The 27096-nt window shown below is 34.7% G+C and overlaps 1 long non-coding RNA gene across 1 annotated transcript in view, besides 2 other annotated features; it reads left to right on the forward strand.

Moving 5' to 3' along the window:
* LINC02790 (long intergenic non-protein coding RNA 2790) overlaps positions 1-27096 on the forward strand; it is a 30813-nt gene that overhangs the window by 1593 nt on the left and 2124 nt on the right. The window contains exons 3-4 of the long non-coding RNA NR_125991.1: positions 2461-2534; positions 12533-12761. This is a non-coding gene — a long non-coding RNA (long intergenic non-protein coding RNA 2790). The remainder of the gene's footprint in view (positions 1-2460; positions 2535-12532; positions 12762-27096) is intronic.
* Positions 9451-9993: an enhancer, noted in NCBI's record as "OCT4-NANOG hESC enhancer chr1:96468667-96469209 (GRCh37/hg19 assembly coordinates)". NCBI's record gives its function as "activates a minimal SCP1, AML or CMV promoter by ChIP-STARR-seq in primed H9 embryonic stem cells {active_cell/tissue: H9 hESC(primed)}" and the evidence as "EXISTENCE:reporter gene assay evidence [ECO:0000049][PMID:30033119]".
* Positions 9994-10535: an enhancer, noted in NCBI's record as "OCT4-NANOG hESC enhancer chr1:96469210-96469751 (GRCh37/hg19 assembly coordinates)". NCBI's record gives its function as "activates a minimal SCP1, AML or CMV promoter by ChIP-STARR-seq in naive H9 embryonic stem cells {active_cell/tissue: H9 hESC(naive)}" and the evidence as "EXISTENCE:reporter gene assay evidence [ECO:0000049][PMID:30033119]".

Genomic DNA, 27096 nt, shown 5'->3' on the forward strand with positions numbered 1-27096 from the left:
GCTCAGTATTCAAGGATCTAAGTGCAGGATTACAGAGACAGGCACATAAACATATTTATAAGGCCATGTGGTATGTAATAACTGAGACATGCATTAGGGAAGCAGTCCTCAAATTTTTTAAATCCCAGGAACATTTTAAATGCTTAAAAATTATTGAGGACATATATGTGTTAAAAGTATCAATATTTACTCTATGAAAAATTTAAAACGAGTTATTTCAAAATATTTATTAATTTATTTTAAAATACAATAAACCTTTTACATGTTAACATAACATTCTTCTGTGAAATATAATTAGATCTTCCAAAACACAAATCTTAGAAGAATGGCATTGTTTTAAATTATTGCAAATCTACTTAATATCCATCTTAGCAGAAGATACATGGATTTTCATATCTACTTCTATTTTTAATTTATTGTAATATGTTGTTTGGGTTGTTACATATGATAAATATATCACTTCCCATAAGTATATATTTGGTAAAAGAAGAGAATTTCAATAGCCTTTTAAGGTAATTATTTTAAACTACACCAAAATTCAAGTAGTTTCTAAAATGTTAGTATTAAAGGGTACCCTAAAGTAATATTAATAAATTTTCATATTATACATAACTAATTGATATATCTCACATATTGGATGGATCTTTTAGCCATGCATAATTATATACATTATAATTGATCATTTAAAAGATATTGGTTCACTGAGTTATATAAATCCTGTAAAATTTGATAAATGTTATTATATAATATCAAGCTCACAATGACTGATAAAAGCTTTCCAAAATTCTAATTTTCTCTTAAACGTTCAAATTTTGTCATAACAATAAAGACTATTAGCTGTTTTTCTTGAAGTAGCAGCCTAATGTCATTTATTTTCAGAAAAATATGTGCCAAATAACCAATGTCAACACAGTGAACAAGGCACATATCATCTTACTATTAGTACAAAAATAATTTGAATTTGTGGAGCCCCTAAAACGGACTTAAGAATCCCCCAAAATCTGTTGAACACTTATGATAACTATTGCATTAGGCTGCTATGGGAATACAGAGCTGATACATCCACCCCAACTTGGATGTTGGGGATGAGTGTTGCAGAAGACTTCTAAGAGAAAAGACATCTGAGCTGAGTCTAAAGAATAATTCCTATTTAGCTGAGAGAAAACATAGTGCTGTAGTATCAAATCAAGGCAAAACTGAAAGTGAAAGATAAAGTTTGGCTGAATCAAAGGAGAAATATGCCATATTAAGGATTTTAGATTTTTATCCTTTAGTCAAGAGACCGTTAGCTTTAAGGAGAAGAGCAGAATTGTTAGATGTCCATTTTAGAAAGATCATCTATATGAAGCATAGCTTTCAGGAGAACTAAATTGGAGGCAGAGAGGCAAGGTGTAGAGCACATTTCCTCTCCTGCTCCTACTACTTTGTCTTTATTTAGTAATTACCAAAATACAAAATAACAAATGTGCAACACAAACGTTTGCTATGTAAAATAAAATAAAATAAAATAAAATAGAAAACAATATAGAAAGGCAAAGCTAACCTCCCTGTCTTTCTTCACTTTCATCACCTTCAGGTAACCAATGTTAGAGCCTGGTGTGTATCTTTCAGAGGATAGTTTCTTTGTGATTGTGAGTAGCTTAGCTGTTGAGCAAGCCACTGGATACAAGACTAACCTTACAGAAAGGTCAATCCTGGATGGGTAGGATGTCATCAACATATGAGGCATGGTTAAAACCATGAATGTGGATGAGATCCTCCCGGAGGATCACATAAAGAGGTCAGCGCACTGTGACCTGACTTACGGGGATTACTATATGGAAGCTGCATACAAAGATCAGAGGTCCAGCAGGGAGAGTGGGGACAATGAGTTTTGGGTGGAAATTCTGACAACACAGGATTAAAACACTGAGGATGTCCCTTTACATCGAGAAAGTGCTGAATAAACATCCTGAAGGAGGTTGGTGGATTTTAATAAAAATTAAAAAGGGAGTCTTTATTAGACTATAATAATTCTCCTGTGTTTTTCTGCATATTATTTACATATAATGCAACTCATCTTCAGTCAGGACTTCAGGGACACTTGTGCCAGCAGACCGGTACCCAGAGAAATAAGTGAAGAACAGAGTTTACTGTAAATTTAAATATTAAACAAATGGACAGATATTTGTATGTTCTACCAAAAAAAAAAAAGAAAAGATTATTTATTGATTCATTTCTAAAATATTAAAGGAAGTACAAGTTTTTCCAGGAAATATTAGAAAAAGAAAAACATTGAGAAAGTAGTAACTTCAGTTTGTGAAGGGGTAAGAAAATCTCCAAGAAAAAAAAAAAAGATAGAGTTTGGAAGATAAAAAGGAGACGGACATTGTGACTTTTTCATGGCTAACCTGCCAAAATATACATAACATCAAAAAGTGTTGCAATTACAAATGTTGCTTTTTCTTGTTTTTATTCAAGTGGAAATGAACAGTGTCCTGTAACCCTCAGAGTGAGACTAGAGTCAGAATGCAGGCTTTTCTCATTTGAAATCTGTAAGTACTTACTATTGTCACAATGGGTGGACAACAATTTGGGTGTTTCCCCATGCAATAATTTGCATTCTTCACAACATGTCTGATATAATTAAATATTTCTAATATCTATATGTCAGATACTATACTAGATACTGAGGATATTCAGATAATTTAAATACATTTTTCCCTCAAAGAATTCACATTCTCTCTAATTAAACCCCTATCTAAGCCACTAACAATAATACACTATGATAAATATGGTATAGAAATTGCCTTTTGAAAAGTCTAACAAAACTACCTCTACCATATCTTCTTAAAGTTAGGAAAGTTTTAAGCCTTTAAGCTCTTCTCTATTTCCCAAGATGAGGCCTATGACAAGAAAAAACAATCTTTTTACAGCTGATCTAAATATCTCCTATATAGGAAGTATTATATAATTTGAACCCAATTATCCAAAGATAAAAAGTATAATTCACTACTCTATGTCCTTATGTATGAGATGGGATCATTTCAGTTCATTTAGTCAAATTTGGTGACATATACAGAGGTGTACTTAAGTGTTAAGTGCTTGAATAGAGTTATCTGTTGTGGGCTGATTCCATAGGCTGCCTTTATTTGAAATGCTAATTATCTTAAAGCAGATTTGTATGTTTTTCTGTAAAGATTGTATGTTTTAGAAACACAGTTTGAGCCATAGTTTATAGAAATCCATGTAGTGATGAACTATTTAATGGTGAAATACTATTTCTGTTAAGATGTACTCTTTTCCACAGAAATCTGTTAGGTCTAACAAACTGAGGCTTTTCTTCTTCAGTGATAATTTTTCCAATGGAGCTCAGAGTGTAGCAACACATCAGACTGTATTAGTCCATTCTCATGCTGCTAATAAATACATACCTGAGACTGGGTAATCCTTAAAGGAAAGAGGTTTAATTGACTCACAGTTCCCCATGGCTGGGGAGGCCTTGCGAAACTACAATCATTGTGGAAAGGGAAGCAAACATGTCGTTCTTTACATGGCAGCAGCAAGGAGAAGAATGAGTGAAAGACAGAAAAGCCCCTTATAAAACCATCAGATCTTGTGAGAACTCACTCACCATCATGAGAACAGCAGCAGGGGGGTAACCACTCCCATGATTCAATTACCTCCCACCTGGTCCCTCCTGTGACATGTGGGGATTATGGGAACTACAATTCAAGATGAGATTTGGGTGGGGACACAGCCAAACCATATGAGACTGTGTTTGATTGAAGCAAAGGCTGTTTACCCTGGCATTAGCTCTGTTCAAAAACTAATAGGAACAATTGGGTGGCTAAATTCAATTTAGGCAGAAATCTATCAGAATTTAGGAATAGAATTTTCCCTACATGAGGTTTAGTTACTTAAAAACATTTGTAGCCTTTTGTTTTTTTCATTTCCTCCCCCAAATAAAAGTGCTAAGACATTTTCAGAATGGCACAGGCTTTGTGATCATGGTACAAAAAAAGTATGTTCAAAAATATATGTGCTGTTACATTTGCTTATTTACTTCAGTCTGGAAAAAAATAAATGACTTTGGGAACTATTAATCGATGTCTCTCCTGATCAGTGATGTCAGGCCCATAGCTAAAGTAACTTCATCAACTTAAATACATATCTTTGTACATATATATTATTTTTTAAATGCCTCTTGAGTTCTTTCTTTTTCTTTTTCTTTTTTTTTTTATGTGAACATTCACTTTGAAGAAAACAGGTGAGAAATAACATGGAAAGTCACAGCAGAGAAGTAACTAAATAGGGGGACTTGGGACAAAGAATGACTTTACCTGTAATGTGATGCAACTCTAAAAATGGGAGTGAGAATAATGAAAGGGATGTCACAATATTTTTTTTTTTTTGAGACAGAGTCTCACTCTGTCACCCAGGCTGGAGTGCAGTGGCACCATCTCAGCTCACTGCAAGCTCCATCTCCTGGGTTCATGTCATTTTCCTGCCTCAGCCTCCCGAGTAGCTGGGACTACAGGTGCCTGCCACCATGCCCGGCTGAGTTTTTTGTATTTTTAGTAGAGACGGGGTTTCACTGTGTTAGCTAGGATGGTCTCAATCTCCTGACCTCATGATCTGCCTGCCTCGGCCTCCCAAAGTGCTGGGATTACAGGCGTGAGCCACCACGCCCAGCCAGGATGTTACAATTTTTTAAGAATGGAGAGGTAAGACAAATATATAGCACTCTGAAAAATAAAGCAATCTGTCTTCTCTTACAACACAGTAAACTAAACTAGAAATAATAACAGAGAGATAGCTTGAAAATCCCCAAATATTCAGAGATTAAACAACACACATCTAAACATGAGTCAAGAGAAATTTTAAAAGTATTTTTAACAAAATTAAAATGAAATTGCAGCTCAACAAAACTGGTGGGATGCAGCAAAAAGAGTGTTTAGGGGAAATTTATAGCATTGAATGCCTATATAAGAAAATAAGAAAGATCTAAAATTAATAACCTAAATATCTACTTTAGGAAATTAGGAAAAGATGAGCCAATTGAATACAAAGTAAATAGAAGAAAAGAAAGAATAAAAATCAGAGCAAAAATCAATAAAATTGAAAACAGGAAATCAATAAAGAATATCAATAAAACCAAGGGCTGGGACTTTGAAAAGATTGATGAAGCTAAAAAATTTTAGGCAGGCTAACTAAGAAAAAAAAAGAGGATACAAATTACTAATACCAGAAATGAAAGAGAGGACGTTACTACAGATTCAATGGACATTAAAAGGATTATAAAAGAATAATATCGTAAACTCTGTGCCCACAACTTTGATACCTTAGATGATCTAAATAGACTGATATCTATAAAATAAATTGAATCTAAAATCAGTAACCTTTCAAAACAGAAAGCATTAGGCCCAAATGGATTCACTGGTGAATTGTATCAAACAAGGAGGAAAGTATACCAATCCTCTAATAATCTCTTTCAGAAGATAGAAGCAGAGGGAATACTTCCTAACTTATTCTCTGAATCTAGCATTACCTTAATATCAAAGGCTAATAAAGACATTACAAGAAAGGAAAACCACAGACCAGTCTCTCTCATGAACATAAATTCAAATATCTTCAACAAAATATTAGGAAGTCAAGTCCAGCAATGTAGAAAGAGGAATTATATACCATGATCAAGTGAAACTTAGCCCAGATATTCAAGGCTGGTTTAATAATCAATCAATATAATCTATCACATCAACAAGCTAAAGAAGGAAAATCATATAAGCATATTAATAGATGCAGAAAGAGCATTTAAAATAATTCAACACCTGTTCATGATAAAAATCCTCAACAAACTAGGTATAGAGGAGAATTTTTTCAACTTGATTTAAAAAAGCAACCTACAGCTAACACCACACTTAATGATGAAAAACTAAAAACTTTCCACTAAGATCAGAAAAAAGGCAAGTATGTTTCCTACTATGATTCAAATGGGTCTCCCAAATATCTTGTGTTAAAACTTAATCCCCAAATTTATATGTTGATTGGAGTTAGGGCCTTTGGCTGGTAATTAGGATTAGATATGGTCATCAGGGTGGGGCCCACATGATGGAACTGGTGGCTTTATAAGAAGAGAAAGAGAGACCTAATTTGTCACACATGCTCTTGCCTTCTTGCCATGTGGTAACTTCCACCGTGTTATGAAGCAGAAAGAAGGATCCTATGAGAAGCTCAGCACGTGCTGGCACTGTGCTATTGAATTTTCCAGCCTCCAGAACTGTAGGCCAAAATAAACGTTTTTCCTTTATAAATTACCCAGCCTGAGGTATTCTGCTACAGCAACAAAAAACGGACAAGGTATCCCTTCCCACCACTACTATTCAAGATTTTACCAAAAGTTCTAGCAGATGTAATAAGGTAAGAAAAGAAAATGAAAAGTATATATACTGGGAAGAAAGACACAAAACTGTCTTTGTTCATAGATGCATGGTTTTCTGTGTAGAAAATATGAAAGAGTAGACAAAAAAATTTCTGAAACTAGTAAGTGATTATAGCAAAGTTGCAAGGTACAAGATTAATATGCAAAAGTTGATCTCTTTCTAATATACAAGCAATGAACAAGTGAAATTTGAAATTAAAAAAACACATTTATATTAGCACCCAAAAATAAAATATTTAGGTAAAAATCTAAGACAAGTACAAGATCTTTATGAGAAAAACTACAAATCTCTATTGAAATAAATCAAAGAAAAACTAAATGAATGGAGATACATTCTATATTCATGACTTGAAAGAATCAATATTGTGAGGACGTCAGTTTTTTCCAGCTTGATGTACAGGCTCAATGCAATCACAATAAAAATAACAGCAAGTTATTTTGTGGATATCAACAAAATGATTCTGAAGTTTATAAGGAGAAACAAAAGACCTAGAATAGCGACACTATATTGAAGAATAAAGTCAGAGGACTGACACTACCAACTTCAAGACATACCATAAAACTACACAATCAAGACAGTGTGGTGTTGGCAAATAAACAGGCAAATAGATCAATGGAAAAGAATAAAGAGCCCAGAAAAAAACCCACATAAATATAGTTAACTAATCTTTTATAAAAACGAATATAATGGACAAAAGATAATCTCTTTAACAAATGGTGCTGGGACAATTGGACAACCACACATAAAAAAAAAAAAGGAATCTAGAGACAGGGTTACAACCATAGCAAACATTAACTCAAAATACCATAAACCTAGATAAATAAATAAATAACTAAATAAGTAATAAGCCTAAATGTAATATTATATATATACATATAAAACTCCTAAAAGAAAACACAAGAGAACATCTAGATGACCGAGGGCACAGTAATGACTTTTTAGATGTATCACCAAAAATAAAGCCCATAAAAGACATAATTGATGAGCTGGATTTCACTATTAAAAACTTCCGCTCTATGAAAGACACTGTCAAGAATAGGAAAAGACAAACCACAGACTGGGAGTGAATATTTGTAGAAGATATATCTGATAGAAAACTGATATTCCGAATATACAAAGAACTCTTCAGATTAAAATGTAAGAAAACAACTTGATTTAAAAATATGCAAAAGACATGAATGGACACATCACCAGAGAAGATATAATGATGACAAAAGTATATGAAAAGATGCCCAAAATCATTTTTCATTAAGGAATTGCAAATTAAAATAATAATGAGATATCATTGCACACCTATTATAGTGGTAAAAATTCAGAACACCAACAACAAATCCTGGTGAAGATGTGGAGCAATGTGAACTCTCATTCTTTGCTTGGGAAATGCAAAATGGTATAGCCACTTTGGAACACAGTTTGTCAGTTTTTTACGAAACTAAACACACACCTGCCATAAAATGAAACAAGCCAACCAGATTGGTGTTTATTCTCAAGCTGTCTACTTGGGGCAGGGCAAGTGGGTCACAATTATGTTCTTTATTAACAAGCAGTTATTTTTGTTGTGACCCAACAGAATACCTTATAATATTCTGTTATTCTAATTTTTCAGAAGGTACTGAAGAAATTGAGAGATTGTGCTAAACTTGATAGAAGGCAGAACAACCTTGATTTAGCTAGGATTTGAATTTTCATGTGTGGCTTTTTCAAAAGATTTTTAACTTGGCTTTTCTAGTAAGCCTGTGGAAAGGGTCACTTAGTGCTTAGTGAACATCCCCTTATTCTTTAAGGTGATTCCTGCTTTGCCTATCCTCAGAGTGTGGTCAAAAGGCAAACTTTCCCACTTGCCTTTTCTTTAGCAGCTTTGTTAAGGGTGTCAGTGCTGAGAGTTGCTTATTTTTGGAGTGAGTGTTAATGATTTTATATTTTTCCTGTATACACTGTTCCAGCAGTGAGCAGACTCTTAACAAATCTCCAAAATAAACTCATTTACCAAGTCTTTCTCGTATTTGTCATTTTGAAAGATTGAATAAACATCAGTAAAAGAAGCAATCCAAGTTCTCATGCCAAATATGTATATGTCCAAGACCAGGATTTCTTCATGTCTGAATGTGGATATGGAGCCTAGAGTACTAGGTATTTTAAATTTTCATCTTAACTTATTTTTGCTTCTCCTCCTTCACATGCTCCAGTTTGGATGGGCCTTAAAGGTAGGGCTGCTTGCCGCTATACGAAGATCTGCTCTAGCAGACTGAAGGCTGGGCTATGTTCTATTTTATTTGGAAGAAGACTTGATTTCATAGCAGAGAATTACTAATTGTGGCTCAGAGAATCCTTTCCAGATGGCTGTAGGTTGGTCCAAAACACAAAAGGACCCAATTGGTCTAAAGCCTGGATGAGAGTCCCAGAGAGAATTGGATAAAGGTTGGAGGGAATTATTTCTGTTCTGGATCTGCATCTATAGTATCTGTAGAATGAGGCTAAGCTGAGCAAGAGGAGAGGAGAACAGAATGCATCTTTGGTTTCCTCTCCCTTTTTTCCACCCGTATTTTAAGGGAAAGCAATGTTAGGATTTGAAAACTTTTTTTTTCCATGTAACTTTTATTAGTTCATAAAGTTACATTGTGGGTCACTTAGTTCAATGCGGTTTCTCTATTACCCTCTTCTCATCTACGTCATCTACGTGCTTTTCCATAATTCCTCCGTCTCCCCACTTTATCAGACTCTAGTTTCTGTTTCTTTGTATGCAACTGAAACAATTTGAGACCAGACAAGCAATATTACTATGTCAAGTGGCAGGGCAGTGCCTCAAAAAGTTGTGGAGACTCACCAAACTGAAACGTATGACCCTCCTAAAGGTATTCAAATTCTAATGTGAATTTATTGACTAGTAGACAAATCAGAGGGTCAGGTTCCATCTACTGGTCATCTTTTCGCAACTGTTGCTCTGTTTTATTCATATCTCCTTTAATTTTCCCCTTCCACCTTTCTAAAAAATTGTACAAGATAAGGGTGAAGTTTATAATCTTAAAATTCCGGCTCTACCACTTATTTTGTGAATTGGGCAAATTAATCTCTCTGTGACTCAGTTTTCTCATCTAAAAAATGGGGTGATAAAGATATTAACCCATTGAGTTGCTTTGAAGAATATATGAAGTAATACGGATAAAGCTCTGAGAGTAGCACCTAGAACACAGATGTACTATGTAATTTTTTTAAAATAAATATTTGATTTTTTTATGGCCAAGAAGTCTGCTGAAATCTTTTCCTGAATTTCACTTCTCAGCTCACCTGTCTTCCTTCCCCCACTTCTGTGTTCCTGAGTGAAAGGCATACAAGGAATCAACATATGCAAGGAAACAAATAAGGTGCAGATTACCATTTGACTAGGCTAGTGCTGATTTCCCAATGATCAGCTATCTGCATGAAGCTTGCTGCTTAGGTTTGAGGCCTAAAAATTTTCATCACTACCCTTATGGCCACGTTTGAATCCTGTTGTCTTATCACCAGATTCAGATGTTAGGGCTTGGAAGAGACCTAGCATTATCTTTGTATTGTCATATATTTTCGTAAAATTTGCAAAAGTGCAAATGCTTTAGCTACAATCAATCTTTTTCCTTACTGACTCTCCACATTGCGTACCCTCTATCCCAAACTCATTTACCTACACATAAGGAGGCATTAATGTCTCCGCGGGAATGTATTGTGATTCGAATAGGAAGATTGAAGGAACATTTAGTTTGGATTTGTGGAGATATATTTATGAGATGTGTAGTCACTTCCTTGTATAGTTCAATTGTTGTTAACTGTCCCACAGTAGAAATGGTTTCTAACAATGTTTCAAATGCTTTTCAATTCAAAAATGTTTAATGTTTTTTTAAATTAACAAATAAAATCATATTTTTTGTCATGTACAACATGATGTTTTGAAGTATATATACACTGTGGAATAGTTAAGTTGAACAATTCAAATTTTATATGCTTGCAAGAGTATTTAAGAGTAATCACCGCACAAGAATATCTCAATGCCCTGAAATCTTGCAGCTCTTTTATGAAAATACTTAAAAAAATTTTTTCAAAAATTGACAACAATCATAAAAATGTGTATGACATTAAAATAAATGAATATATTATATAATATATGTAAAGAGGTTTTGAAAAGATGTGTGACTCCTCTGTGTTTTTTTTGTTCTAAGACCAATCTAATTTTGATAAAATACTGCAGTATTTACATCATTGCTCAAATTGTATCACATCGCATTGAGTTGCCATGTCTCCTCAGTGTCCTCTGGTGTGTTACAGTTTCTTAACGTTTCCTTGTTTTTCATGACCTTGATAGTTTTGAGGGGTATCAGTCAGGTATTTTGTAAAGTGTCCTTCAGTTTTGGTTTATCTGCTGTTTTTCTTATGATTAGACTGGGGTTATGAGTTTTTAGAAGACTACCACAGAGGTGAAGTGCCCTACTCCTCCCATTGTATTAGCAGGCACTTCATGTGCACATAAGACCACTGCTTCACCTTTATCAGGTTGAGATAGTAGTGCTTGCCAGGTATCTTCACTGTAATTGTACTCTTTTTTCTCATCCATTCACTATTCTTTGGGAGTAAGTCACTAAGTCTAGCCCATTCTTGGAAGAAGGGGTAGGGAAGACTAAATTTCATCTCTTAGAGAGCTTATTTGGGATAACTAAGCTTCATTATTTGCAATTCTTGAATAAAGATGATTTCTCATCATTTACTTATATCCAAATAGACTTGTAATATTTATTTTATATTACATTATTTATTTTTTAGTTGAAATTGTGCCAGTTTTTGCCATTGGGAATTCTTTCAATTGGCTTCTGTGTCCCTTTGACACATCTCTATCCTTTGCTTTTTTTTTTTTCCACTTTCTTACTTTCTGCCACTGTAAGAGATTCCAGGTTCATTTTGTATTTTTCTTGCCCTAACCCTACAATTAACCATTTCTTCAAGGAGCCTTGGTTTACTTGGGTAAAATGGTATTTAGAAACCAAGATCTAGGTGCTGTCTGTGCACACTGCCACTGGGTTATCATTGCTTCTAGGACCTCTCAACCAACACAACTATTATGTATACTATTAGGTGTACATGCATATCTTTAGTTTGTATATATATATATATATATATATATATATATACACACACACACACACACACTATATAGTATATTATGTATATAGTACATACATTTATATATACTAATTTATGTGTACATGAATATCTATGCTTGTTTCTGTATCTATCCATTCGCATCTATAGTAAGCTAAAAATAAGTTCATGCAGATGTCTCCAACTCTGATCCACTACTATGGAGTTTATTTTAGCCTTCCCCTCTTGCTTAGCTATAACTTTATTCTCCAACAGTGAGAAAGGTGACACCCAATATCCATCTTCCTTTTACTTATTTATCCAATCCCTATATATATATTAACCTTTCAGAAGGGCTAACATGTACCTCTATGAGAAAAATAAATGAAAACGAAAACAGAGTACAGTGTTTATGTAACAGGATCTTACTCTGTCACTCAGGCTGGAGTACAGTGGCACAATCATGGCTCACTTCAGCCCCAGGCTCAACTGACTCTTCCACCTCAGCCTTCCAAGTATCTAAAAATACAGATGCGCACCTCACCTGGCTAATTTTTGTATTTTTTTATAGAGAAGAGGTTTCACCCTGTTGCCAGGCTTATCTCAAACTCCTGGGCTCAAGCTATTTCCTCACCTCAGCCACCCAAAATGCTGGGGATACAGGCGTGAACCATCACACCAGGTCTAAAGTTCCTTTTTTTGTCCTTGACTCTACAGTTTCTCTATTTTCATTTATAATTTACATTTAAAGTTTAGCTTTACAGTCAAAACATTGTTTTCCAAAGCTACATAGGTCAGCTCTCTTTACCTCCATCTCATTCAGTGCAAATATATCATATACTTGTTAACAGTTTAATTAATTTGCCCTTCCACATGCTGGTTGATGTTTTAGTTTTCTTAGTTTGCATGCGTTAAAGTTTACTCTTTTTGATGTACAGCTCAATGAGTTTTGACAAATGCATAGAGTCATGTATCATCACCCAGTTCTACTATTTCTTTTAACTCAGCAAGGTAAGTCCAGGTCCTTACCTCCACCTAAAAGTTCTGCCATCAAGGAACATCTGCTCATTATCTTCTGTTCACACATCAAATGACTTCAATGTGATCCCTGGATGTTCTCCAAAGAGCTGAAGGGAAATAAATATTCTTTCTTTATCACCAAATACTTCAACTGCAGAGTGATTGTGCTACCAAGGCCTGAAACTTCGGAAAAACCTGCATAACACAAAATATAAAGTAAGTGCATCTCTGAGGTAATTTTATGAGTATAATATAAAAGAAGAAAGTAAGGACTTATCTTTCAAGCACACAGTTGATGCAGTGTGCGTTTGTTCCATCTTTATTTTCTCGATTTTCCTATTGTATGTATAGCATGTTTACCAGATTGGGATCAATAATATATTTCAAATTGTTTCTATAATTATAATTTAGGCTCCATCATTTTTAGCTATTTTAACTATCAGTGTTGCAAATTCAAAAGAATTCCACTTTATAAAAGCACACCATTAGTAGGCCATCTCATTATTATCTGTATAAATCATTTAAATATATTAGTAGTATTATCTTGGCCAATTGTTTTAGTATATAATTCTTTTGTTAATTCAGCATATTTTCCCACTAATAATATTTTTCTAATTATTTAATTTTGTCTTGCCTTCTATAACATGTTTTGAATCTGAATAATTATCACCTTTCATTTAATTTGTTCCCTTAGAGATAGAGAATACATGGTTGTAACACCTTATAAATCTCTTATTAAATTGATAAAGTTTACTCTTTCCTGGCTTTTTATGGAGATTAACAGAAGATCCTTGAAAACATTTTCTAAAAGCTGGCCTGGAACACAAAGCTCTCAGGTCTCCACATTAAAGTATTTTGCTTTGCATTCAAGGTTGTCAACATGATGTGTGGGCTTCTGCTTTTGCAATTATTTTAAATGTAGTTATTAAGTTCCTTTGGGAAATTGTTTTCCAGCTCTTGCATTTTCTTACATACCTCTTCTTTTATTTAGCCAAGATGCTAAAAGTGTGCTTCTTTTGATAAATATACTTGCTTTTCATTAAAAAATGAAGAAAGATAGGGGTGCATGGAGGCTACAAGAAGATAAAACATAGTGCTCAGAGAAAAGAGAAATTATTATACTTAGCCAAACTTCAATTTTAGAAAGTTATTAGTATTTTATCCCAAAATAAAATTTAAGGTAAGCACAACTTTAACTTAGAAAAATATTCAGCATAATTATTTGCATAATTACTTTCTAGCTTCAAAGTAAAATAGAAGAAAACATGTTCAAGTTTTTATTAGGAGATGGGACTTGTAAAGCAATTTAATAACTTTAAGAATCAAGTATCTTCTGAATGAAATGAAATATGCACAATTTTGTTCTTAATTGTCAAATTAAGGATGTCATCAATCTGATTAAAGGCTTTTAATTGAGTTGTCATCAAAGAGATGAACAAAGGATGGCAAATATCTAGCACAAAGAATACCACTCTTTGATGACATGCCCATGGCCGACATCACTAATTAATCACAGCACCTTTTTCCACTGTTATCAGTGGAAGTTTCCAAATTTTTCTTGTCATGGTCCTGCTAGGCACCAAATGCCCAGCATATAAAGACAAAGAAAAAGTTAAACTTATTTACCATTGATTATATAACTGCAAACTCATCTCCCTGAGTTATCAAATGCATGAGAAACATTCTCTTATGTGGATGTAATTGTAGAGGTTGCATTATTTCTTGACTAATCCCAATAAAACTCATTAAATGTCATGCAATTCCACAGGGTTTATCATGGTATATATTATTTCCACATAGATAATATTATAAATTAACAACAAAACTTCTTACTTAAGAATATGATAAACTTTTTGAAAGATCTGCTATACTGTTCATTCCATGTATAGTAGAGGACTTACCACCACGGACATGGAGATTGAGTGATAAAGTCACTTAACAAAATAGTGAAATACATACATCTATTTTAATGAAACTTAGAGAATATGAGGATTATGAGTAGAATTAATACAGTGAAATAATGAGTATTGATTTACATTTCATAAATCATTACATAAAAGTAATGATTTACATTTACTGGGAGCTATATAAAAATCAACAAATCAATCCACACTAAGTTAGTTTAGCTTCAGTTTTACACCTCCTGGGACAGGAATTGTGTAGCCTACAAAACAATTTATATTTTATCTGTACCATCTAATTAATTAAATGGCCCCAGAGTACCAGACTCACAAATCTCGTTAATAGCTGAATGCGGAAATAAAGGCTGTTCACCCCTACTAGAATAATATTTGCATATCCCCACCTGTGATGGGTAATAAGTACCTGCCACAAATCAGAATTATGAATTTTGTACGCCTAACAAAACCGCAGGGGAAATTATACCTCAGACATTCCATAATAATTGCAGCTAAGCTGTTTAGTGCCATCCACTTATTCTGCCTGAAGTGTTTAAAGCAGCAACAGTTGTAAATGAATTCAGGCACATATTCAAGGGAATGTCTTTTTTTTTTTTTCAAAAAGTTTTTCTGTCTTGCCATATGTAATTATCTTTATGGAAGTATTCAGCTGCGAGTTATAATGCATTCGCATTCAAAGAAGCAAATTAGAAAAAAAAAAAGAGGGTTCTGTCCATCAGACCATTAGATGTGTACTAGAATTCTGTTTTTGAGATTTTGGAACAGCTTAAGGTAGGTTTTGAGGTATTGACACTCTAAACCTTAGGTTGACTAGCTGGAGTGGGATTCTACTTGTTCAGTCTGTAAATTGGTAAAATTAGATTCAGAGTAGATAGTCCAAGAAGTTGTGACATTAAGATGGAGCAAATGCTGGACTAGTAACCCCAGGTTTCAAGATTACATAATGTGGCCCATCTTTAAAATGGTTTTTCTGAGCTCCAGGATTGACTGTGGAGTTCACAGGCTCCTGGGAGGAATCTAGCCTGAGAGCACTGCAATCCTAGACCTTGGGCGGGGAATGATGGGAGTTGCAAAGGGCACATTTATCTTATTGCTAAGCTCATACAGGGGAAGTGCCATGACAGTGACCAGCATAGAGTGTCACACTATAGGAAATAATAAGTACCTTGGTATTAACCATTAATTGCAATGACCATGTTCTGATTAAATATAGTATCTAATTAAATGACAAATAACTCCAATAGGGACAAGACGTAACCTGTTTAGGAGGTATGGAAGTTACTTAACAATTTTGATGGCTGTGAGGTACATTGTAGGGATTAACTAAATACTAGAAGACCTAATGTCACCTCTTGCTAAGTATTGACCTTGAGATCTTGAACAAGTCAATTTCTCTGAAATTTTCTTCCCTCATCTATAAAATGTTATCAGAAGTAGTTTCATCTATTTACTAACTGACCAACAAAATCATCTACTTCTTGAGATGGTTGTGTGCCTCAGTAGTTACACTGTATGCACCTTAGGATCACACTACAAGTGATTGCCACTATTTTATTTTCCCATTAGGGATCTGGCTGATTAGCTGCCTGCCTGAACCAAGTTTCTCCATTAAAGAGACTTTACTACAAATGGGAAGGAAGGGCATAGGAGAGAATATACATAGGAAAGAAATACAATCGTTCAAAGATAAAGAATGTCTTCCTACCTATCTAGGGTGTGTGTGTGTGTGTGTGTGCGCACTTAGCCTGAGTGTGTACATAAAAACTGCTCATTTTAAAAGGGTTTTAAAAATAATTAGGATTTATATATTTTTAAAAGAGTGAGCAGAGTGCAATGAGTCACCAAGAGGTGATTAAGTCAGGTTGTTTGAGGCTCCCTGAGGTGACAGGATGGTCTGTAGGCTTTAGAAAGAAAGCTTATATAGCCTATTACCATGATGAAGTGAAATTTAAAATTACATTTTATATTTGTAAAGGGCTAACAGGCAAGGTCCCTATGGATTGTCAAATACTACATAAAATGCTATAAAAACCAGACCGTAATCTCTCACTAACTTACACATTAGCCTCAGGCAGTAAAGATGGTTTTTATTGGAACCAGATTTTGTGAGGGGAAAAAAAAAAGTTATGCACAGTTTATTCTGGCTTTTCAGGCACTTTGCTTCTTCCTTGAGTTAACATGACGTATTCCAAGTGATTAAATAAACTTATCTAGCAGCTCTTTTCATGCACTTGAAAGAGGCAAAGTAAAGAAGGATTTACTCTGAAGAGAGGTCTTAATTCTATCACTGAAAAGTGTCTCTGTTTTATTCCAATCATTACTATGAAAACCAAGAAAGGCAAGAAAAAATTAAAGCTTCTGAAAAAGCCTTTTGTAGAGAACTGCTTGTACTCCATGTACTATTTCACTTACCACCTTGTACCTTTGAAGATCAAAAGTAATACGTGTGGGAAGAATTCAGAACACATTGGAGATATTATTGTCAGTGCCATGAATGCAACCCAGGAAAATAATAGTTTGGATGTTAGCTCCTTTGTTATCACTGAAGTGCTAAGCAAGTCTGGTCAAATATTTTGATGGACTGGTAAATTTTTTCATCTTCAAGAGTAACTAACTTTGAACAGCTTACGGTCATAGTTACAGCATGTGGCAGATTTATAAATGATCTCTAGATTCAACTGTCAAGCAGTGAGCCTATTGGTGTCTTTGGTTTTGTGCTTCTTTCAAGAGTTAGAGATTTGTAGTAGCCTATAAGCCAGGTGTAAGATTTTATGTGGAGACAAACTTGGGGCTTTTTAGATATGGTTGTTTGACCATTTACAGAGCTAGCTTGAGCAGATATTCAAAGTTCTGATCTCCCCTAATGTTTCAGTTGTGCTGGTTGAGGACTAACCCTCCGTGATTTAGCAGTCAAGGGGTAGAAGGTGGTGGCCAGTGTGAGTCTTGAGAATCCCAAGTAGGTGGCCCATGTTTAATTACATGCCTTAGGAACTCTAGAAAAGTTGGTATGGTAAAAAGCACACATGGCTTTGTTGTCAAACTGACCTTTATCCCAATCTTATACCCATCAATTACTAGCCATGACTTTAGGTAAATTACCTTCTCTGAGCTTCAAGGAGTTCTTTGTTTTTGTTTGTCATCTATAAAGTGATGCCTACCTCAAAATATTTTTGGAAAGATGAAATAAAATCTCAAGTAGAACCAGGGTTAAGTCATCTCACTGGAGCATGGATTTTGTGTATCCCGGAGCCCTAACCTTTAAGAGATAACCAGCAAAACAGAAGCCCTCAAAGTCTGAGACATAGTGGTTAAAAACAAAGATGCTTTTAAAAAGGAAAAAGAAATCAAGTATTCATTGCTATAGAAAGACCTAATAAAATAGAAATTAAAACAATCTCTCCCTCAACTTACACCCTCTCCAGCTACCGTTTTTCACCCCTTTTCCACTAGCATCTTCCTTTACTTTACTAAACTGTCCTCATCAAGGTCAAAAATAAATTTATTGTTGCTAAACACAAAAATCACTTTCTGGTCCTCATTTTATTAGACCTAAAAGTAGTACAGTTTGGAGAGTTGGAAAGGAAGCATTGTACATGGAAAGAGCTCAGAGTGAGTGTTTCGATGATGAATTGTCATCTTAGTAAATGCTTGAACTTGGAAAAGCTATTGGACGATTCTGAGCTCATTTTCCTTACTTGTTATCAGAACAAAAATCCCAGCCTTATTTATGAGGGTCTGCTAAGGACTAAGTTCTGATAACAATGCACGGAAATATCTACAGCTGCTCCTTGACTCTTGATAAGGTTACAATCCTTCAAAGCCATTGTAAGCTGAAATACTTTAAGTAAAAAATGCACTTAATATACGCAACCTAGTGAATATACCCAACCTGCTAAATACCTAGCCTAGCTTAAATGTGCTCAGAACACTTACATTAGACTATAGGTGGGCAAAATCATCTGGCAACACAGTAGAGAACCGGTTGCTCACCCTTGTGATCACAGGATTAACTGGAAGCTGCGGGTCCCTGCTGCTACCCAGAACCACAAGAGAGTATTGTACCTCCTATCACTAGCCTGGAAAAAGATTAAAATTCAGAATTCAAGTATGGTTTCTATTGAATGCATATCACTTTTGCACCCTCATAAAATCAAAAAATTGTTAAGTTGAAACATCGCAAGTTGGGAACCATCTGTAGTATCATGCTTGGAATGCAATAAGTGTCCAGTGAGTTATTTGGCTTTCCGTTTTTCCTGACACAAAATGCAACCACATAGCAGCCACCTTCATTTTCTTCTACCTTCTTATTGTGCAAGCTCCTCCGGATTAAAAAACATATTTTAAATATCCATAATCTACAGTCGTTGGCATAGTGTTGGAAATAAAGTGCATGTTCCATAAATTCTTACTGGTTGAATGAAGACAAAAAATAGTTTACTGATACAGAGAAGTTCCCATAGAGGCAATATTTGGTGGTTTCCTTTTAGTAGACAAATGTTTGTGAAGGATAGTTTTGGATTTATCATGGGAGGTTGATGACACCAAATCAGATACAGTCTGCCCTCTGTATTCATGCATTCTGTATCTGCATATTTGGGGAAAAAATAAAAATAATAATCCAAATAAAAAATTAATATAGTATAACAATTACATAGTATTTACATTACTTTAGATATAAGTAATGTAGAGATGATTTAAAGTATATGTGAGGATTGCATAGGTTATAAGCAAACACTACATTATTATAAGAGTCTTGAGCACCGGCAGATTTTGGTATCTGTGGGGTCCTGGAAGCAATCCTGCATAAATACTGTGAGAAAACTGTATCATGAAAAGACTATACATTGATAATCAATAATATATTTCAAGCCTTTATTATGGACACATTATAGTAAGTGCTTTATTGCATTACTTCATTTAATCATCATTCAATCTTCAAGAAAACTGCTTTATCCCCATTTTACGAAAGAAATGATTGCTTACACAGTTAGGCAAGCAGCCGAGATTACACACCGTCTGAGAGGAGACCTGAGTTTAAACCCAAATCTAGCTGTTTTACACAGACTATGATCTTAGCCATTATGCTATGTGTCTGGATCCCCACCAAATACAAGTTCTGAATAGACGACCTACACGGCCCTCCCTGCCATGGCTGCTGCCAACTTTGGCTTTTCACGTGAGCCTTCCCCTTCTCTTTTACAACCATACTAATCCTAATCTCCTTTCATTTTTTTTGGTATAAATTTATGGGGTACAAGTATAATTTTTTTACATGCATAGATTATGTAGTGGTGAAATCAGGGGCTTTTAGGCCATCACCCAAATAACATGCATTGTACTCATTGAGTAATTTCTCATTCTCTCCCACTCTCTCACCCTCCTTAGTCAGCAATGTCTATCATTCCACACTCTATGTCCATGTGTACTCATTATTTAACTCCCACTTATAAGTGAGAATATGCAGTATTTGTCTTTCTGGGTCTAACTTGTTTCACTTAAAATTAGGGCCTCCAGTTCCATCCATGTTACTGCAAAAGACACTATTTCATTCTTTTATGGCTGAATAGTATTCATTGTATATAATCTCCTCCACATGAGCTGTCTTGAATATGTTTCTTCTTGCCACTGAACCACCTGATTACTCTTCTGATGGAAGGCAGAATGGCAATGGTTTGGATGGAGTATGAGCCTGAAGCCAGGTGAAAGCTAATGATAATATGTATGACTTTGAGCAACTCAGTCTTTGGATGACATAATGATAGATACTTACAAGATTATTTTAGTGACAGAGATAATGATGCAACACACTTTAAACAGCATTGATTATTAAAATGATGAATACTTTTATTCTAGTTTCAAGGTTTCTAGTTGAAATTATGGTGTGAAGTTTGGTAAACCTTTTAATGTTCATTTTAGTTGTACCCAACATAAATGCTTGTTAATATGTTTCCTTATATATTGTGTCTTCAAAAGAGAAGCAAGATATGAAAATCAGTAATTGAAATTGGCATGTAAATGGGAGGAGCTTTTTTAGGGATTGCCAGGGGAAAAGGCCACATATGAAACATTGATTTATCTGCTTTTGTAAAAGACCAGAGAAATAAAGCAATAACTTTTGAGATTAAAATCAAAATACATATTAAATTGTATTTGAGCATTATTTTGGCCTGAGACTGAAATTATTTTCTTTAACCCATTCAGTTTTAATTTATGTCAGATTCAAATTTGGTAATACATTTTACTCATTGCTATTTAAATTCATGACAAATTGCATGTGTGTATATATATATATATATATATATATATATATATATATATATATATATATGCCATGCATGCTGTATATATATATATATATGCCATGCATGCTGTATATATATATATATGCCATGCATGCTGTTATGTTTTGGAGAATATTATGAATTCAAAATGGATATCCTTGTTAAAATATAATAAACTTTTTTTTCTATTTCAAAAACATATAGTTTATAAACTGTGACTGTCTTAATAAATGCTGGAATTCTCCCATAATCGTCTTAGGGATTTGTTTACCTAAGATTTTCACACACTTATGACTAAATCAGGAATTACTAAGACCAGGCCATATATCAGCAAAAAATCCTTATAATCAGTTGGGCTGTGAATCTTTCCAACTAGATGTTTTTAATTTCTGCAACAGATTTTTCAATGCATAATCTCACAGCTTTGTTAAAGACTGGTTAAGCAAAACCTGAAGTATATGAAAGGTGGTTTCTATGTCTATGTGTAGGGTAAGTAGATCTTTGGAAGGTTCACCCAGTTTTTTAAAAATCTAATCATCAATCACATCTCTACAAAAGGCTTCTTCTGTTCTTCTTTTTCTATTTTTCAAGATTCATTTCCATTATCAAAGATATTTAGTACTTCTATAAGATTTACCACATTAAATAATTAGTACAACCTTCTTTACTTGGCATTTAAGAACACCCAGATTACCCTGCAAAATATACAGAATGAACAACGGAAGTGGTCTTTCAGGAGACACAAAATAATATATCCTTGGCTACTAGGATCATCACTTTGCTGTATCATATTGCATAACTAATTTTTTTGAGTCTTTATTTTCTTAAGTGTAATGGAGGATTTCTAAGGTCTGCTATAGATCTTGAAGTCCATTTGTCTCTGACTTAACCCTTTCAGACGTATTTTCAACGAGTTCCCTACATGTTTCACTAGTTCCAGCTAAACCGGACTACCTACTAATTCATGCATGTGCCCATTATCTTTTCTGTCTTCTATTCTTTTGGCATTACTGATTTCTTTCTACAAAAAGTTCTCTCCCATTTCTGTCATTTCAAACCCTTCCAGTTCTTTACAATTCCTTTCTTACCATCCTCCACCATCAAACCCTCCCAGATTTACAACCCGTGATGATATAGTCTCTGAAATTTTGCTCGAAACTCTTTTACTGATGCCGTATGCAGACTTTGGTTACATTGTTTCTCGTTTCATCTTATCTACTAGGCTTGGAAGAAAGGCATTCTTCTACTGACTTCTGCATTTTTTCTGTAGCACCTAATAGTACATGGCGCATAGTAGGCACTCAATCAAGTGTCTGTAGAATGGGAAGTCTGGTCTATTATTCTGACACAATGCAAATGGTAAAATGATCTCCTGTTAAAAAAAAAGCTTTTGGCCATTTATTCAGTATTCATTTAGTGCATCATTTTTGATTGTTCAAAGATGCAGTTTAATACTCTTTTTTATTATACTATATGAGTATTAGCTCTCCCCTGACAGTAAGACAGGGAGAAAGATGATGCCATTTGGCTCTTTCTTTTCTCCAAGCTATTATGCAAAGAATAAGCTCTAAGTGATAAGGTCATACCCCTGTGTTCAACAAAAAACCAGGTTGCTTCTTAAACATCTCAGACCATTTCCTGTAATCAGTTAACAAATTCTGCCTGATTAAAATGTGCACAATTTTCCATTTGCTTAATTTTTGTTAAAATTTTTGGATTAAACTATGTAAGAAATTTTTGTCTGTTCCTCCTTTCCTGCAAAAACATTATTCCTTCATAAATGAATCTCTAATTGGAATTTAAATGGTCATTTTCCAATAACTAAAGCTTTCTCCATGGATGTTAAAGCAAAGGCAACCCACATTTCCTACTATCCCTTCACCCTCAATATTATGATGGAAGCTCTATAGATCCAGCGGATTTTGGCAGAAGAGGTCTAGTTGAATCATCTCAAAGCCCTGGAGTTTTGGGCCTCTGGCTATTACGACTGAGCAGCTACGAGTATGCAGAAATTGATGCTTTGTTTGCCCTGAATCCCTGTGCCATCTGTACCACACAGAAAGCACTGTGAACTTAGTCATTAAAAATGAATATTTAACAGTTCACTTTTGACATGCATTTTTAAAATTTAAATTAAACTTTTTTTTTTTTTTAGTTTTTATTTGTACCTTCTCAAATTTCTTGGTCCCAGCTGTCCTGTGTATCATTGTGCTGGCATCATTCTGTATTGACCTTGGTAAAATCAGCAATTATAGATTATCAAATAGAAATCCTCTTTTAACCCTTGAATCATTTTCATGATAAACAATCAGGACAGTCCCATGTCGCTTCAAGATTTGCTCATTTGTGTTTACTAAAAAACATCAGGGTTGGAATACATATACAGGAGGTTTATAATGCCTCTTTTTTTGTTATATTTGTTGATCTCATGTGCTTTAAACCATTTATTTTTTTCAGGTCATTGTAGCCTTGTGATGAGTTAAAATTAATGTCTTTTCATATATTGTTTAATAAATGTACATTGAACGATAATAGTTCTGAACCATTATCGAAGTGGTAGCATGCATGCATGATTTCTCTACAGAGATCCTCTAGGTTGAAGACATTTATGACAACATAATCATTGTAGTGTAATATGTAATACCTATAAGCAATTTTTACTAAGATCAATGACTGTTGCTGGTCCCAAGACTGAGAAATTCTTAAGAACATCTCTATAGTGAAAATTAAAATAGTGCAGTCTTTTCATATTTAAACATTAAAACAGAATTTAGAGCCCTAAGCCTTCCAAACCTTGTAAAAGGACAATAGTGAGGTGTCAGAGGGAGAATGAGATCTGCCCATTCTTTCGAGCACCATATATGGCACTTCACAATCTCGCCTTGCCTAATAATAAAGAGTTTAATCCTGTAGCTACAACCTGTTGAAAATTGCTTTAGTCCAGGGCTTGTCACCCTTATTCTTAACATATTTTGGGCTGGATAATTTTTACTGTATGTTCTTATGCATTGCAGAATGTTTAGCAGCTTCCTTGGCCTCTACCCATTAGGTTCCAGATGCTAGTAGCACCACCTTCCCAACTCATGACAAATATATATATATACACACACACACACAAATATATGTATGTATATATACACATACATGTATATGTATGTATATATACACATACATGTATATGTATGTATATATACACATACATGTATATGTATGTATATATACACATACATGTATATGTATGTATATATATATACACATACATGTATATGTATGTATATATACACATATATGTATATGTGTGTGTGTGTGTGTGTGTATATATATATGTATCCAGACATTGCCAAATATTCTCCAAGGGGCAAAGTTGCTCTTCACCCTCATTTGTGAACCACTGTATTAGATCCAATACTTACCCTTTTATAATTCCCTGCGTGCCCATCAGTCAGGATTCAGAAAGTTTTCAGATGTTTTAAAAGAAAGAAATTCAGTGTTTACAACAGACAACAGAAATTTTTCAGGTGTTTTATCAGAAAGTAACTGAGTGTTTACAACACTGTAGGAAGGGCTAAAGAAGACGAATTCAAGGGAGTCCCATCAGACTAGAATTTTAAGGGCATGTCAGTAAAAACTGTGAACCACATTAAGGAAGCTGCTACTCCCCCTGCCATTGCCACAGCTGTCTCTCACAACCACAAAGTTTCTGACCAAAATTGGGAATTCAGTGCTTGTATTTATTCCCACCTTAATTCCTAGAACCAGCAGAAGCAACAATATCCCAACCACATCACCCTTTCAAGCCTCTCAAACTTGTATATCATTCATTAGTTGAATTTAATTCACAGACTTCTGGTTTCAAGGAAGTTTCTAGCCCCTGCAGTACACATAGAAGATAAAAATGGAGAGTGAGAATAGATACTGTGGGCTAAAATATCATATCCAGCATACGATGCTGTGGCACATCTGCTTGTTTTGGGCTTGTAGTACCCTCTGCAGAGATGTGCTTCATTTGTTCATTTATTAATCTGTTTATTCAATTATCATTCAGTCACTCTTTCAACAACTACTTATTGAATACAGTGTTAGGACTCTTCCAGGTGCCAATAACTTGAATTAGTTTATTAAAGCATGTTAGTGGGGAAGGCAAGGAGTTAAGAGGGTATTAAATATGGTAGAACTAGGCTCATAAATGCCTTTGTGACTCTTCTGTTTTTTCCTTTCTCTCCTCCTTTCTTTGTACTTTTCCTCTAGTTTTCATCATCCTTTTCCTAGAATGGGCTTTTTCAAAAGGTGCAAAACCTAGAAGTTCCAGATTCACACTCTACCAACTTCACAACTACACAATTATTTTTTCAACAAATACATATTGAGAACTCACTAAATGTTTATCATTTTGTGTCTTAGTTCATTTTATACTGCTATAACCACACAGGATGCCACAGACTGGGTCATTTATAATGTACATAAATTTATTCAGCTTATGGTTCTAGAGGCTGAGAAATCTAAGAGCATAGTCTCAGTGTCTTACAAGGGCCTTCATAATGTGTCATCCTATGGCAGAGGTGGAAGAGCAAGAGAGCACGTGAGAATGCAAGAGAGCATATGAGAATGCAAGAGAGCATAAAGAAAGCTAAATTCATCCTTTTATCAGAAACCCATTCCCTCAAGAACTAACCCACTCCCTTGATCATGGCATTGATCTATTCATAAGAGTAGAGCCTTCATTACTCATTCATGCTTAAAGGTCCTCACTTCTCAACATTGTTGCATTAGGGATTAAGTTTCCAACACATGAACTTTGAGGAACACATTCAAACCATAGCACTACATAGTTGCTGGGTATAGGATGAGAGAAACCTGAAAAGAAAGCGCTCTCTTTCTATACATAAAGTTAATAAAGAATAAATGAGTAACCAAGAAGAACCTTAGTTTTTACAGCTTGGGCCATGGGCTTTTTCTTTGATCATGCATTGTGGCCAAGGAATAGAGTATTATGATTGCCCCAGTAGCGGTCAAATGTCTAATCACTTAGACCTTTCAGTTAGAGAAGAGGGTAGGTAGCAGAGGCCAAGGTAGGAGGATTACATGACATGACTATCAGGGGAATTTCTGGGAGACAGAAGGCTGCTATATTTGTGTCCACTACAACTATCTGCTGTGTATTAGGCACTATGCTAAGTGCTGAGGATACTGTAGTGGGTAAGACAATGTCCCAGGAAAAGTTTTCTGTTAAACCTAATCCACCAGACCTGACCACTCCCTCCTCTGGGGTACCAGTAGTTTGTGTATATTACTAACATTATTATTTCTTCTTATCTAACTTCCGCAGAAGACTGTGAAATTGAAGCCTCTGACATCTCACTCCAGCATCCCACCTGGCATGTAGATGTGATTCCATGAATGTGCATTGGCTAAATGTTGAAAGAATGAAAGAACAAATGATAGCTTGATTAAGCAAATGAATGAATGTCTCTCTTTCATACTGAGAGAACGGTAGATGAGGGCTTAGCTTTCTCCTTTCCTGAAGCAAGCCTATTGGAGAAGTGTGGCTGGCTCATGCAAAGGGTGATGGAGGGGCAACTGATCTGCTCTGACATGTTTCAATTTAAGCTTATCTTTCCCTCACTCCTTTCCTGTAAGTCTATCTTCTTGGCTATGGGATTTTTATTGAATTTCTGATATGTGAATGAATCACCATAAAAATGTAAGCTCTCTATTGAATAAAATTACACACACAAAATACTCCCAGAAAAATGAGGCAAATAAGTCTCTTCACTGGTGGCTATTTATAAGAACCTCCTCCACCTTTAAAATGCACATATTTCAATAGCCTTAAGTGTTTTTGGTTGAAATTTTAGTGAGAAAGACATATGATCTGTGAGAAGTGGCACTTTATCCTGGTTAACTATAAAAGCATTAAAAAACTTATAATGACTAAAAGTGTTTTAAGTGATTATACAAAATGTCTTCAGATTTCTTTTATCTTTTTTGGGAGGGGTAGCACACAGGGGAGATTGAGGTGAGTATGACTATGATTAAAATCAATGAAGACCATTGCTGGTTTTAACACATGATGACAATATTGTACACCACAGTGACACATAAAATGATATTACCCATAAATCCTTTGCCCTTTCTGATGCTGCTAAGAAAACACATGAAATCATTTTGACTGATTAACAAGGCTATGCTCTGCAGGCACTACTGACCCTGAAGTTACTGGTATTACCTAAAGTATCTGAGGTTATAAATCAGGAGCAGTTTGCATTATTAGAAGCAAAAAGATGTTTCTTAGGAAGGAAGAGAAAGCCAACAATTATTTAGAGTTATTTGTGGTGTGTTCCCACAGTATCA

The sequence above is a fragment of the Homo sapiens genome, chromosome 1 (genome assembly GCF_000001405.40).
Source record: "Homo sapiens chromosome 1, GRCh38.p14 Primary Assembly".
In the NCBI taxonomy this organism is placed as follows: domain Eukaryota; kingdom Metazoa; phylum Chordata; class Mammalia; order Primates; family Hominidae; genus Homo; species Homo sapiens.